At 48.3% G+C, this 15,602-nt stretch overlaps 1 protein-coding gene across 5 annotated transcripts in view, besides 1 other annotated feature; it reads left to right on the top strand.

Moving 5' to 3' along the window:
- The window catches only part of TENM4 (teneurin transmembrane protein 4), a 788,202-nt gene that overhangs the window by 236,403 nt on the left and 536,197 nt on the right, over positions 1–15,602 (top strand). The gene's annotated exons all lie outside the window — the stretch shown is intronic.
- Positions 12,335–12,877: an enhancer, noted in NCBI's record as "H3K27ac hESC enhancer chr11:78902796-78903338 (GRCh37/hg19 assembly coordinates)". NCBI's record gives its function as "activates a minimal SCP1, AML or CMV promoter by ChIP-STARR-seq in naive H9 embryonic stem cells {active_cell/tissue: H9 hESC(naive)}" and the evidence as "EXISTENCE:reporter gene assay evidence [ECO:0000049][PMID:30033119]".

Below are 15,602 nucleotides of genomic sequence, written 5' to 3'. Positions count from 1 at the left end.
TCAGCCTATCTATGGCTCTGCATTTTTGCCATTGTGGTAATATCAGAAGTTAGTTTTTGCCAGTCTAGTGGGTATGAAATGGTATCCTACTGTTTCAATTCCCTTGGCTTCTTCTACCATGAAGCATGGTTCTGTGCCCACATTGTATCTCCCCAACCAGACTGGAAACTTCTAGTCACAGCTCCCAGAGATAGGTGCCCAGGCCATAGTAGGGGCTCAAGATTTGTTGAATGAATAAAAAATAATAATTCCAGATGCTTTTACTTGGAAGGATTATAGTTGCTTTTTCTTCATTTTTTCTTTTTAAATATGTAACCATCACTTTCTAAAAATAGCAGCTTTATTTAGACATAATTGACATATACATACAGTCATTTAAAGTGTACAATTCAGTGCTTTTTACTATTTGCAGAGTCGAGAAACCATCACCAGAATCCGTTTTAGAAAATTTTCATTATTCACCCCAAAAGAACCCATACCCATTAACAGTCACCCCAGATTTCTTCCTAACCTAATGCCTCCACCCCCTGCACCACCTTATTCCCATCCCTGCTTTGGCCAGGTCTAGGCAACCACAAATCTCTTTTCTGCACCTGTGGATTTGTCTATTCTGGAAATGTTATTGTATAAATGAAATCATACAACATGTGTTTTTTTGTGGCTGGCTTCTTTCACTTAGCGTGTTTTCAAGGTTTATCTAGGTTGTAGTATGTGTTAGTACTTCATTCCTTTTTCTTGCCAAATATAGCACTTTCACTTTCCACAATTTCATTTTCATGTGAATACAGCACAATAAGATATTTTGGGAGAGAGATGATAGTCACATAACTTTTATTACAGTACAGTCAGCCCTTTGGACATACAGGTTTTGCATCTATGAATTCAACCAACTGCAGATAGAAATCCACAATTAGAGACTGTACTATGCCACTTTATATGAGGGAGTTGAAGATTCTTGGATTTGGATACCTGCAGGGGGTCCTGGAATCAATCCCCCATGATACAGATGTCTGACTGTATATTGTTATAATTTCTCTATTTATTATTGCTAATCTCTGATTGTGCCTAATTTATAAATTAAACTTTATTATAGATATGTATGTATAGAAAAAAGCATAGTATATACAGGGTTTGGTACTATCCTTAATTTCAGGCATCCACTGGGGACCTTGGAATGTATCCTCTGTGGATAAAGGGAGAAAACTACAATATTCCATTGTGTGCACATATCATATTCTACTTACCCATTTCTTAGCTGATGGACATTTGGGTTGTTTTCACCTTTATGCTATTATGAATAATGTTGCTATAAACACTTGTCCTTGTGGATATGTTTTCATTTCTCTTGAGCAAATAAATACCCAGGTGTTGAATTGCTGGATCATATGGTGTGTTTAACTGTTTGAAGAACTTCCAGAATGTTTTCTAGAGGCTGTGGCATTTCACATTTCCACCAGCAGTGTATAAGGGTTCCAGTTTCTCCACATCTTCATCAATATTTGTTATTATATGTCTTTTTGTATTATAGCTCAATCATGGGCTTTTGAATCAGGCAACCTGGGTTAGAATCCCAGTTTTGCTGTTTACTAGCTGCAGTATCATAATTAACTTTTCCCTCCATTTTCTTCCTGTGTAAAATGAGATTATTAATACCCACTTTGTAGGACAATTGTGAGGACAAATTAAACCAAGACAATGGTAAAGCCTTTAGCACAGTGTGGGATGCCATTTGCATGTCCTGGGAACAGAGTAACAGTGACAGTTTGTCATTATGGGCCTCCTCTAGTCCATGGTCTTTCTGTCTAGGGTGCTCATAAAGCCACCTAGAACTGCCATGAGCACCTCCTCTCAGTTGTCTGGGAGCTAAGCTGTGTGTGAGTGAAAAGCCCAGAGCACTGCTCTTCATGAATGTCCAGCACTCACAGTGGAAGTTAGAGCAGATCCACCATCACCTTGACTCTCAGAGTCCCCAGGGGCCACCACTGGACTGTCCCAACCTGGCAGGTTCTTACAAGCCACCCCCAAACAACAAGCCACCGCCAAACAAACACCACAGGGAACAGAGGGACAGAGAACCTTTGCAGGCTCCAGGTTAAGAAGCTTCAAATCGGGTCTGAACTATGTGAGTTTATTTAAATTGGTTTTCTTTTCCTTCCTTTCTTTGGCAGGAGCCAAATTTTTCATGCCACCATTTTTGCAACAATCACAAACATCATCTGCACACCCAGACATTGTATAGGAGGGAAAAAAAAGATGATTACTCGCTGATTGCTACTGTTGTTCATTTTGGAGCTGCCTCTGGATGAGAAAGGCACAGCTGCATGTGGAAGAGGCAGAGAACAGCAGCTCTGTAAAGCCAGAGCATGGGTAGGGTGGAAGGGGAAAAGTCCCTCACAGCAGGGAAGACCTGGCAGTCAGAGTGGCAGTGGTTTATGGGACGAGGTCCTGTTCCTGGCAGTGCTGTGACCAGTGTCTACAGGAGGCAGCAAAGACACCTCAGGCTCATCATGCCCCAAACAGACTCACATCATCTCCTCCCCCACCCACTTCCCCAGTCCTTCCCATCTTAGTCAGTGGACCAGAAACTTGGGTGCCACCCTGGTTCTGCCTCCTTCTTTGTCTCACACACCTGACCAGTCACAAAGCCGTGTGAATCCTATCCTGCATATCTCTCAAATGCATCAAGTTCCCTCCATTCATTCACTCTTGGATCACTGCAGCAGCCTCCCCAGTGTCTCCCTGCCTCTCTGCCTCTAGCCTAGCACCTCTTGATGACTCATTCCCCAGCCCACACTGATCTTCCCATAAAACAAATGAGATTGGGTCACTTTACCTGAAAACCCTACAGTGGTTTCCCTTCACCCTAAAGATGAAATCAGAGGGCTTTCAGCCACTTGCCCCACCCCTCCTTCATGCTTCTGTGAGTCTCTGTTACTGCACGGGACTATATCAGTGGTTCATTTATCTTCTTCCCCATTCTCCCCTGGGCTCCCTAAGGGCAGGAATTCTGGTTGATTCATGCCAGTATCCCCTGCATCTAACAGAGCTTCTGACTTATGGTAGGTACCCAATAAATGTGTGTTATTTGAGTAATCTTTATGATTTTCAGAATTTTTTTTTTTTTTGCCTGGTTATTTCTCTTTTGACCTTCGCCACTCTGAAGTACACATGGTAGGAGTTATTTCCATTTAAAAGTAGGAAACCCAAGACTCAGAGATGATAAGTGATGGTCTGAGGGTCCTACACAGCAGGCATATGGCAGAGCTGGACTAGCCACAGCTCTTCCAAAGGAGGCATCACTAGAATCCCATGAGGAAAGCAAGGCAGGTGGCTATTTCTGTGGTTCTCAAAGTGCAGTCCCTGGACCACCAGTGTCAACACTACTGTTAGAAACACTACTGTTAGAAACGCAGTTTTCAGGCCCTACTCACAAGATGATGGAATAGCATGAGGCCAAGCCCAAACTTCCCAACTGCCTTCTTCCAGCCAAGATCATATTCTCTGTGTTGTGTGATGTCCTACTTCTGGAATTACTAATGTCCATGAGTCCTAATGATGGGCCCCGCTGTACCAGTTGGAACAAAAGATTCTTCCTGCAGACCCTCTGCAGCACGAACTTTTTCAATAATGTCAGAAAGCTGTGTGGGGCATAATTATAATAGTGTTCATCCTTCAAGCATACTTTCTGCTGGGACTGATTAAACAAGGTCTGACAAGCATCTCTCCTGGATGACTCTGGGTATTAAGGCAACCAGAGTATGAGTCACTTGTAATGCCCCAGCTAGAAGTTTTTCCAGGGCATAATAATCCCCTAGTATGGACAGAAACTACTAGTGACAGGCAAAACGTTCAGAGGCTGTGCTTGTGCCTGGAGCAACAGCTTTGTCCTCCTCTCCTGCCCCTGCCTTGACTTTGAAATGTTCTGTCAAGAACGATCAGCCTAGAATTGAAAGGCATCCATGTGTCAGCTGAGCCAAAGAGAGATGGGATGAAAATAGCAGCTGCCTCTAGTGTTTTAATGGATGCCCGTGTCCCTTAAGGGCACCAGGCCTGGCCACACAGTGATGAGGAGTAAGCCTGGAAGGCCCAGCCTGCATTGCTCTGATGTGTGACTTTGGATGACCCTTGCCCTTCCTGGGCCAAGTTTGCTCTGGGAGTAAATCTCTGAGGTCCCTTCCAGCACTGATGAAGGAACCTATGGCATGTCCTGGGGGACACTAGATTCAATGCGGAGTAAGGTGAAGTGGACTTTTAAAAGTGGAGATATTTAGAAGGAGATAAACCTGGGTGAGAAGCCCCAGCTCTAGCTCTCCCCACTATGTGATGCCCAGCATCGGACTGCTGCCCTGCCTCTGGGTCCTTCTGAAGGATTCTGAGACTGGAGGAAGAGACAGCTAGGAAGCACAACTGATTGGGGTTCTATTTTTGAAAGAGGCCTGCGTTGGCATCCCTAGAGACAGAGCACGGTGCATTTCCCTGAATAACCACTGCTATTTTTAGAGGGCAGAAATGAACGGCACCCCAGGAGAGAAGGCGAGAAGAGTGACTGGATGCTTCTAGAGATGCTGCAGGTCCTGAGCTGGATCTCAGTCAGTTTTTTCCAAGGTGTCTGCCTGGGAAGTTGCTTATCAGCCTCACCGTGACCTTGGTTGGTATGGTGAGGCCACTGCTGTCCTGTATGCTGCAAGGGCAGAGAATGCTGGGTGCCAACCCCAGGGAACCACTTTTCACCCTTGTGTGGCACACTTCTTACAGCCATTGTCAGCTGCTGTGGAGGAGGAGTTGTCTGGATTGAATGTCTCCCAACCACAGCAGGAAAACAGGCAGCAGAGGATTACTGTCTGGGACTAAACCCTCCGGGACATGTTCCTGAAAAATTTTAGAGATGGGTGGAAATCAATAGAGATTACAGATGAGTAGAATTGTGGATTCTTAGACTACAAGGGCACCACATCCAGCCACCCTGCTTAAGTGAGCTGTCCAGCCCCAGGACTGCATATCTGTAATGGAAGGGCATTCCCTGAGAGAGCTCCACCCATTTCTGGGTATTTGATTGCTTGCAAGTTTGTTCCAAAAAGTCCCATATCCTCTACTCAGCACACATAACGATTATGGATAAATAATGACAATGAACTTGTATTGCAGGCTCACCACGTATCAGGTAATGGAAGTATTCCACCTGTGCCTTCTCATTCAATCTTCACATTCCGAGTCAGGGACATTATTATTCTTATCTTGCAGATGAGGCGGCTGAAACAATGAATGCCTAGCACATAATAGTAACGACAGCAAATGTTTATACAGCTTACTGTATTCCAGCCACTCTTTTACATGGTTTACATGAATTAGCAAATTTAATCTTCACAAAAACCCTTTGAAGTAGGTAGTATTATCATCATCTCCAATTTGGAGAGGAGGACAGAGAGGCAAGATTTGAATCCAGACACACCGGGTACAGTGGGCTTGCTCCTAACTGCCCTGGCCATATTATTCTACCTCTCCACGAGTATTTGTATAATGAACATCTGACCTCTCTACTCACATCTTGACTCATTCTTCCCCCTCTCTTTGCTCCACCCACACTGGCCATCTTCCAGTTCTGCTAACTTGCAGCGTCTAACATCAGGGACTCCTCCAGACTCCATCCCTTCTTCTCCTGGCCACCTCCTGGTCATCCCTTAGGTTTCAATTCATGTTGCTTCCTCAGAGAGGGCTGCTCTGATTTCCCCAGACCAGGCAGATCAGGTCAGCCCCCTCTTTTAATCTTTCTCCTAGTCCCCGTGCTCCTTCTTCAAGTGCCATCATCTCCCTGCTCAACACACTCAGAAGGAAAGCTCCGCAAGGGCAGGACAATGCCACTGTCCTCCCTCTGCGTCCCCAGCATCCTGCTCAGTGCCTGACACAGAGTAGGTCCCCAATACATATTTGTCAATTAAGTGCATGGAAGCAGGGCTAGAAAGCAGGGTTGGCACCTGTTTTTCTTGAAGGCCACGGTGTCTCTAGAAGCAGGCTGGGTCTATTCCCACCAACTCACCAGTTTCCTGAGAGCACATGTGTGGTGCTGGGAATTGTTTCTTCACATAACTTCTTCTCTCTCATTTTAGAGGGGAGGAAATAAAGACTGTGAAGGAGAGAGTGGTGGAAGGAGGGGGAAGGAGGAATCAGGCAGAGCTCCCCAACCTGGCTGACTGCTCATTAGAATCACCTGGCGAGTGTTGAAAGCCCAGGCCTGGCGCCTCCCCAGGCCAGTGGAATCTGAACTTCTGTGGGTGGTGCCTGAGCTTGGACACTTGTTTAGTTTATGTGGCCTGGTCCTCATAGATTGTATTTGGGAGACCAGGCCATCAGAGAGAAGACAAGAGCCTTTGTTAGGAAACCCAGACCAGTCCTCCCCACTCAGTGGTTCTTCACACAGTGGCGGCCTAATCAAGGAGGCTGTCCTCACAGAAACTAAAGATTAGGGCAGTGGTTGAACAATAATTATCATCCTCATCATTTAATAATAATAGTTACTATTTATTTGTTGAGTAAACAATGTGCTAGGCCTCTTACCTAATCCTGATGAATGCCTGTTAGGTGGTTGATGGTGTTGCCATCATACAAAAGAGGATGCCCAGGTTAAGGTCACACATGGAGGAGTGGGAGAGGCCAGGTATGAACTTGGGCCTCTATGCCCTGAGCCTGTGTTCCAGCAGTGGCCTGCACGGCCTGCAGGTGTTTGAGTCTCCTTTCCTTCCACCGGGAGCACAGTGTGTGCAGAAAGGCTTCTACCTTCATGACTAACAAGACTCTGAAAAAAAAATTCTTGATTGGAAGCCTGCTACATTCTGTGCTAGGGTTCAGGAGGAGAGAAAGCCAGGTTTCCCCCCACCACGTCCCCCAGCAAAACAATGCATTTTAAATGGCTCCAAAATTGCTAACTTATTTCACTGCTTCAGAGGAGAAATAACTTGGGGAAAGCTATTGGCCCTTTATGCCCTGAACATCAAAATAAAATGCCAAATGGGAACATGAAATCACAGGAGGATGGAAGTGGAAAGGATTAGGTGGGAAGTTTGCTGTTGATGTGTGGGGAGAGTGTTAAACTGGAATTCTGGGTACTTGTGAACTTGGGGGTCAGATGGACCTGGTTCAATCCAGCCTGGGACTAATGCTCCCATGCTGACATGGCTTTAGGATTAACTGCAAACAAGGTACCTCTCCGGCAAAAGGTCCTGAGCAGCTTTTGGTTCTGGTTCCACTGAGCTGGGGTTGGGCCCAAGCAGGGGCTTTTTAAAAAAAAAAACTTCCAGGTGATTCTAATGAGCAGCCAGGGTTGGGAAGCTCAGCTTAATTCCTCCTTTCCCTTCATTGTCTCCCCTCTCATTCTGAGTTTTCTCCCCGCTCAAATGGGCATGATACCACTTGAAGAAACAATCCCCAGTCCCTTCCAGCAAGACGAACTGCTCTCAGTAACCTGTGGTGAGTCAGTGGGAACATCCCAGCCTGTTTCCAGTCACACCTTTGCCTCCAAGAGAAACCAGTGCCAGCCCTACATTCTAGTTGGCTCAGGTAAAATGAAAGCATGGGGGAAAAGGGCCCCAGTCTGGCATGGAATATTGAGGACTCAGAGCCTTTTTGCTTTTTGCTGAAAACCTCTTAACCCTGGGCATGACCAGGCGCCATCTGCTGAACACGCATCCATAAGCCTTGCTGAGGGAGGCAGCTTGTTTCCTCCTCATGCTGAGGCTACTGCTACAAGGCTCTGTCAGTGAGGCTGGTTGGAAAGTTCTAGAAATGTGGGTCAGGTGGGCTCTCAGGCCTGTCACAGCTGAGAGACAAGTCTCCAGGCCTGGAAGAGGAGAGAAAATGAGGCTTCCAGCCTCTAGAATGTTCTGTTTGATGAGCAGCACAATGGGGCCAGAAGCCTGAGAACAAGTGTGACTGAGGCCCTGTTAAGAAGAGAATGCACCCCCTGGAAATGTCCTCAGGAAACATGGGGAACAGTGTCTGATCTGAACACACACCTGTACAGACCTTGTCCATGATAGGAATGGCAAACGGCTACCATCAACAGCACCAGCCGGGGGCTGACTCCTCAGACACAGGCACTACTCTCCACAACACCCCGATAGGTCGGGTTAGGACCCCAGTTTCACAGACAGAGACACTGAGGCTTAAGGGGACATAGAACCAGTCAGTGCTGAGGCTGAGGCTGTGGACTTCCATAGTAGCTTTCAGACCTGTTTTCCCATTTGATCTTCTCAACAAGCCTACGAGATGAGCCAAGGTGAAGAAACAGGCTCAGAGACACACGGTGACTTCTCCAGTGTCACACAGCTAAGGAGCAGCAGGGCCTGGACTCAGAGCCAGGCCTGTTGGGCTCAGGTTGGTGCTATCTCCCCTCAGTCCAGGCTTGCGAGATGCCCTCTTGCATTAGTCTGTTTTCACGCTGCCGATAAAGACATACCCGAAACTGGGAACAAAAAGAAGTTTAACAGGACTTATAGTTCCACATGTCTGGGGATGCCTCAGAATCATGGTGGGAGGCGAAAGGCACTTCTAACATGGCGGCAGCAAGACAAAAATGAGGAAGAAGCAAAAATGGAAACCCCTGATAAACCCATCAGATCTCGTGAGGCTTATTCACTATCATGAGAATAACATGGGAAAGACCAGCCCCCATGATTCAGTTACCTCCCGCTGGTCTCTCCCACAACACATGGGAATTCTGGAAGATACAATTCAAGTTGAGATTTGTGTGGGGATGCAGCCAAACCATAAAATTCCACTCCTGGCCCCTCCAAATCTCATGTCCTCACATTTCAAAACCAATCATGCCTTCCCAACAGTCCCCCAAAGTCTTAATTCATTTTAGCATCAACCTAAAAGTCCACAGTCCAAAGTCTCATCTGAGACAAGGCAAGTCCCTTCCACCTATGAGCCTGTAAAATCAAAAGCAAGCTAGTTACTTCCTAGATACAATGAGAGTACAGATATTTGGTAAATACAGCCATTCCAAGTGGGAGAAATTGGCCAAAACAAAGGGGTTACAGGGCCCATGAAAGTCCAAAATCCAGCGGCAGTCAAATTTTGAAGCTCCAAAATGATCTCCTTTGACTCCAGATCTCACATCTAGGTCACACTGATGCAAGAGCTGGGTTCCCATGGTCTTGGGCAACTCCACCTCTTTGGCTTTGCAGGGTACAGCCTTCCTCCTGGCTGCTTTCACGGGCTGTTGTTGAATTTCTGCGGCTTTTGCAGGTGCACGGTGCAAGCTGTCAATGGACCTACCATTCTGGTGTCTGGAGGATGGTGTCCCTCTTCTCACAGCTCCAGTAGTAGGCAGTACCCCAGTAGGGACTCTCTATGGGGGCTCTGACCTCACATTTCCCTTCTATACTGCCCTAGCAGAGGTTCTCCATGAAAGCCCCACTCCTGCAGCAGACTTTTGCCTCAGCATCCAGACATTTCCATACATCTTCTGAAATCTAGGCAGAGGTTCCCAAACCTCAATTATTGACTCTGTGTACCCACAGGCTCAACACCATGTGGAGGCTGCCAAGGCTTGGGGCTTCCAGCCTGTGAAGCCACAGCCTGAACTCTATGTTGGCCCCTTTCAGGCATGGCTGGAGTGGCTGGGACACAGGGCACCAAGTCCCTAGGCTGCACACAGCACAGGGACCTTGGGCCCAGCCTACAAAACCACTTTTTCCTCCTGGGCCTCCAGGGCTGTGATGGGAGGGGCTGCTGTGAAGGTCTCTGACATGGCCTGGAGATATTTTTCCCATGGTCTTGGGGATTAATATTAGGCTCCTTTCTACTTATGCAAGTTTCTGCAGCTGGCTTGAATTTCTCCCCAGAAAATGGAATTTTCTTTTCTGTCACATAGGCTGCAGATTTCCCAAACTTTTATGCTCTGTTTCCCTTATAAAACTGAATGCCTTTAACAGTACCCAAGTCACCTCTTGAATGCTTTGCTGCTTAGAAATTTCTTCCACCAGATACCCTAAATCATCTCTCTCAAGTTCAAATTTCCACAAATCTCTAGGGCAGGGGCAATATGATTCCAGTGTCTTTGCCAAAACATAACAACAGTCACCTTTGCTCCAGTTCCCAATATTTCCTCATCTCCACTGGAGACCACCTCAGCCTGGACCTTATTGATCATATCACTATCAGCATTTTTGTCAAAGCCATTCAACAAGTCTCCATGAGGTTCCAAACTTTCCCACATTTTCCTATCTTCTTCTGAGCTCTTCAAACTGTTCCAATCTCTTCCTGTTACATAGTTCCAAAGCTGCTTCCACATTTTCAGGTATCTTTTCAGCAATGCCCTATTCTGCTTGTACTAATTTACTATATTAGTCCGTTTTCATGCTGTTGATAAAGACATATCCAAAACTGGGAACAAGAAGAGGTTTAATTGGACTTACAGTTCCACATGTCTGGGGAGGCCTCAGAATCATGGTGGGAGGCAAAAGGCGCTTCTAACGTGGCGGCAGCAAGAGAAAAATGAAGAAGTAAAAGCAAAAACCCCCTGATAAACTCATCAGATCTCGTGAGGCTTATTCACTGTCATGAAAATAGCACAGGAAAGACCGGCCCCCATGATTCAATTACCTCCCCCTGAGTCCCTCCCACAACAGGTGGGAATTCTGGGAGATACAATTCAAACTGAGATTTGGGTGGAGACACAGCCAAACCATATTACCCCTGCTCTCCACTCCCATGGCCCTGTCTGGATGTCTCAGCAGCTGGGCTGCCCCCAACCTCCAAACACTCCCATCCTTCATACCCCTCCTGAAACCCAACACAGTTGCCATTTTCTAGCTGTGTGACCTTGGGCAGGTTGACTATCACCTGACCTCTGTGAGCTTTCATTTTCATTTTATTTCCCTGCAAGGTGGGAGAGAAGAACCCATCTGCCCACCTACTGTGAGAATGAGTGAGGCCACCGTGTCCCTGGCACTGTGCTTCACTCTTTGGTAAGTGTCAGGGACCCTGCTATGTGGATGGACACTTGTAGGATCAGATGTGTCAGTCTGTGGGGAGTTTCCTACAGAAGCCATCCAGCCCAACTCGTCACTCAGCAGGTGAAGGACAAAAAGAGACCATGACTTGCAGCAACTCAGAGTATGACCGGCCGGGCCACAAGCTTTGTCTCCTGATTCTCAGTCCAATGCACCAGACAGTGCCGTAGGACCTAGGGAAAAGCGGAATACAAGAGACTAAAGTCAAAAATGATCCCACCACATGAAACCCCTAAAATGTAAGTCATCCTGATGGGAGGCAGCATTTCACATGGAAAGAACATCAGTATTCCCTCACTGACACCTGAGTTCCGGCTGCCCTGCCCACCTCACTACTTGTGAGGTCTTGGGCAGGTCATAGCCGTCTGAGGCCCAGGTTCCAAATCTGTCAAATGAGGAAGAGGATGAGTAAAATTCTAGAACAGGGACCTTAGTGAGCTGCTCCAGAAATGGTACCCATCATTATGAAGCCTTCTTTTCAGTCCTCAAATACTGAAAGAAAATGGTGAGGTTGGTGCTGGTGGGAAAGCTTGCTGTCCTGGGCATCAATCAGGGCCTCTCACTGCTCAGGCAGGGGTCCTGGGCGCTGGGAGGCTGGAGAGGAAGGGGAAGAACCAAGAGGAACTTGTGAGGCTCCTTGAGCTACTCCTGTATCTTCTGCCACATCCCCTGCCTACAACCTTGCTGGGAACAGAGTCACAAGCAAGCAGCTTTGAGCTGTTGGCCAGAAAAGGCTGTCACCACACAATCCCTGTAGGGAAAATAATCATATCGTCTAGGTTATTCTTGAAAACTTTTTCTAATATGCTCAAGATACTGATACAGACTCTGTGCTGAAAATATTTTTTTTTTTAATTTTATTTTTTTTTTATTGATCATTCTTGGGTGTTTCTCACAGAGGGGGATTTGGCAGGGTCATAGGACACTAGTGGAGGGAAGGTCAGCAGACAAACAAGTGAACAAAGGTCTCTGGTTTTCCTAGGCAGAGTGTTTGTGTCCCTGGGTACTTGAGATTAGGGAGTGGTGATGACTCTTAAACGAGCATGCTGCCTTCAAGCATCTGTTTAACAAAGCACATCTTGCACCGCCCTTAATCCATTTAACCCTGAGTGGACACAGCACATGTTTCAGAGAGCACAGGGTTGGGGGGTAAGGTCACAGATCAACAGGATCCCAAGGCAGAAGAATTTTTCTTAGTACAGAACAAAATGAAAAGTCTCCCGTGTCTACTTCTTTCTACACAGACACGGCAACCATCCGATTTCTCAATCTTTTCCCCGCCTTGCCCCCTTTTGTATTCCAGAAAACCGCCATCGTCATCATGGCCCATTCTCAATGAGCTGTTGGGTACACCTCCCAGACGGGGTGGTGGCCGGGCAGAGGGGCTCCTCACTTCCCAGTAGGGGCGGCCGGGCAGAGGTGCCCCTCAGCTCCCAGACCGGGCAGCTGGCCGGGCAGGGGGCTGACCCCCCCACCTCCCTCCCGGACGGGGCGGCTGGCCGGGCGGGGGGCTGACCCCCCCCCACCTCCCTCCCGGACGGGACGGCTGGCTGGGCAGAGGGGCTCCTGGCTGGGCAGAGGGGCTCCTCACTTCCCAGTAGGGGCAGCCGGGCAGAGGCGCCCCTCACCTCCCCGACGGGGCGGCTGGCTGGGCGGGGGGCTGACCCCCACCTCCCTCCTGGATGGGGGGCGGAGACGCTCCTCACTTCCCAGACGAGGTGGCAGCCAGGCGGAGGGGCTCCTCACTTCTCAGACGGGGCGGTTGCCAGGCAGAGGGTCTCCTCACTTCTCAGACGGGGCGGCCGGGCAGAGACACTCCTCACCTCCCAGACGGGGTCGCGGCCGGGACGAGGCGCTCCTCACATCCCAGATGGGGCGGCGGGGCAGAGGCGCTCCCCACATCTCAGACGATGGGCTGCCGGGCAGAGACGCTCCTCACTTCCTAGATGGGATGGCGGCCGGGCAGAGACTGTCCTCACTTTCCAGACTGGGCAGCCAGGCAGAGGGGCTCCTCACATCCCAGACGATGGGCAGCCAGGCAGAGACGCTCCTCACTTCCCAGACGGGGTGGCGGCCGGGCAGAGGCTGCAATCTCCGCACTTTGGGGGGCCAAGGCAGGCGGCTGGGAGGTGGAGGCCGTAGCGAGCCGAGATCACGCCACTGCACTCCAGCCTGGGCACCATTGAGCACTGAGTGAATGAGACTCCGTCTGCAATCCCGGCACCTCGGGAGGCCGAGGCTGGCGGATCACTCGCGGCTAGGAGCTGGAGACCAGTCCGGCCAACACAGCGAAACCCCGTCCCCACCAAAAAAACACGAAAACCAGTCAGGCGTGGCGGCGCGCGCCTGCAATCGCAGGCACTCGGCAGGCTGAGGCAGGAGAATCAGGCAGGGAGGCTGCAGCGAGCCGAGATGGCAGCAGTACAGTCCAGCTTTGGCCCGGCATGAGAGGGAGACCGTGGAAAGGAGAGGGAGAGGGAGACGGGAGAGGGAGAGGGAGAGGGAGACGGGAGAGGGAGAGGGAGAGGGAGACGGGAGAGGGAGAGGGAGACGGGAGAGGGAGAGGGAGACGGGAGAGGGAGAGGGAGACGGGAGAGGGAGAGGGAGACGGGAGAGGGAGAGGGAGACGGGAGAGGGAGAGGGAGACGGGAGACGGGAGAGGGAGAGGGAGACGGGAGAGGGAGAGGGAGACGGGAGAGGGAGAGGGAGACGGGAGAGGGAGAGGGAGACGGGAGAGGGAGAGGGAGACGGGAGAGGGAGAGGGAGACGGGAGAGGGAGAGGGAGAAGGGAGAGGGAGAGGGAGACGGGAGAGGGAGAGGGAGAGGGAGACGGGAGAGGGAGAGGGACGAAAATATTTTTTAAACTGTAATTATAATGAAAACTGCTTTGCAACATTAACAAAACCACACATTTCTTGACTTGCATCACCTATTCATATTGACTATTTACATTTTTATGTGATTCCTTCCACATTTATTCGGCCAGAACCTGTATGTCTGTTTGAATGGGCTGCCTGTATTAGGGTCTTCATGATGCTTCTTGAGGGAATAGGGGATAGTGTTGTATTATTTTTGACTCTCATTCATTTATTCTAAAAGTAAATACTGAGGATCTGTCCTTTGCCAAGTCCTGTGCCAGGTCTTGAAGGTCTTAAAGAAAAATAAGACTTAGTCCTGCCCTCCAAAGAGGGCAGAGAGGAAAAAGAAAGACATTTGCCATTTACAAGGTGCAAGGCCACGTATTTACACGTGTGATCTCACTTAAGCCTCTTACCAAGGGTGACACAGGCCTTCTTATTCCCATTTTACTTATGAGGAAGCTGAGACTTGAGACATAAACACAGTGCCCAGGGCAATTTAACTGGTAGCTGACAAGAGGCAGCCACGGGAGTTTGTGTCTAAGCGAAAAATGTGACCATCTTTTAAAATGCCGTGGTGGTGAGGTCTACCAAGTAAGACAAACAGGCAAATAGGGGAGTACCCTGTAATGGGGATAAAGTTAGAGGATTTCTTTTTTCCTTTCAAGCTGCAGTAGGAGCACAGAGAAGGGAGAGATTCACGTTGCTTGGACTGAAGGTTCCAGAAGGCTCCCCCTTTAAAAAGAATGGGAGTCATCTCTATCTAAATCCTGCTACATGTGGAAAAGCAACCTCTAAGCCTACAGGTGACTGCCTCTGAAGCATTTCTTCTAACCGTCAGTGGCGTAGAGATCCCAGAGTGCTCTGTGATCTGACAACAGGAGTGGGGCCATCAACGGAGGCTGCGCAGGCAAGTCTGAGTTGGCAAAACCAGCAGGACTGGGCAACTTCTGATGTTGCGCTCTCAGGCCTCTCTTCTATTATTCTTGCCAGCTGTGGTCAGTCAATATTAGCTTTGGTTCCATTTCAAATCAAAGGAAAATCCACTTGGCAAATACTTATGGAGGCCCTACAACACCTTACACAGGCACTACATATCCAGAGCATAAAAAGACGATTAAGACCTAGCTTTGGACTTCAAGGGGCTCTCGTTCTAGGAGAGAGAGTAGTGCTAAATGACATGGGAAGAGCTGTCACAGGACATCACAAGAGTGTTTAAAAAAGGTATGTTTGATTCATTTGCAGTGTTTGATGAACACCTACTGTATGCTGACATGGTGCTAAGGCCTGGGAACCAGAAAAGAACAGGACACAGTCCCTACTCTTAGGAAGCATACTCCTTCACTCGAGAAACAGACATAAATCATATAATTATGATAAATGCTTGTGTGATGGAGGAGCAGGAGACTGTGGTGGGAACACAGAGAGATGGTGGCTAACTGCCTCTGAAAAAGGGAAGGGATCTTGTATTTGCCAAATACCTACTAAATGCTGAGGGTTTACATGTGTTACATCACTTCTTAGTTCCTCTTAGATTTTTTTATGAATGTGGGAATTGAAACTATTAAAGTACCTTATTCAAGATCATGTATTATGACAACATGAAATTTTGCATTCTGTGCCATACCATATCTGTGTTTACATTCATACAAAATAGTATTTTAAATGACTTGCTAAGCCCCTACCCATGTTTTTACGTTCCCTAAAATTCAACAAGAAAGGCATCCCACCT

This window comes from Homo sapiens, chromosome 11 (genome assembly GCF_000001405.40).
Source record: "Homo sapiens chromosome 11, GRCh38.p14 Primary Assembly".
In the NCBI taxonomy this organism is placed as follows: Eukaryota; Metazoa; Chordata; class Mammalia; order Primates; family Hominidae; genus Homo; species Homo sapiens.
This window is presented reverse-complemented; position numbering and strand designations above follow the sequence as displayed.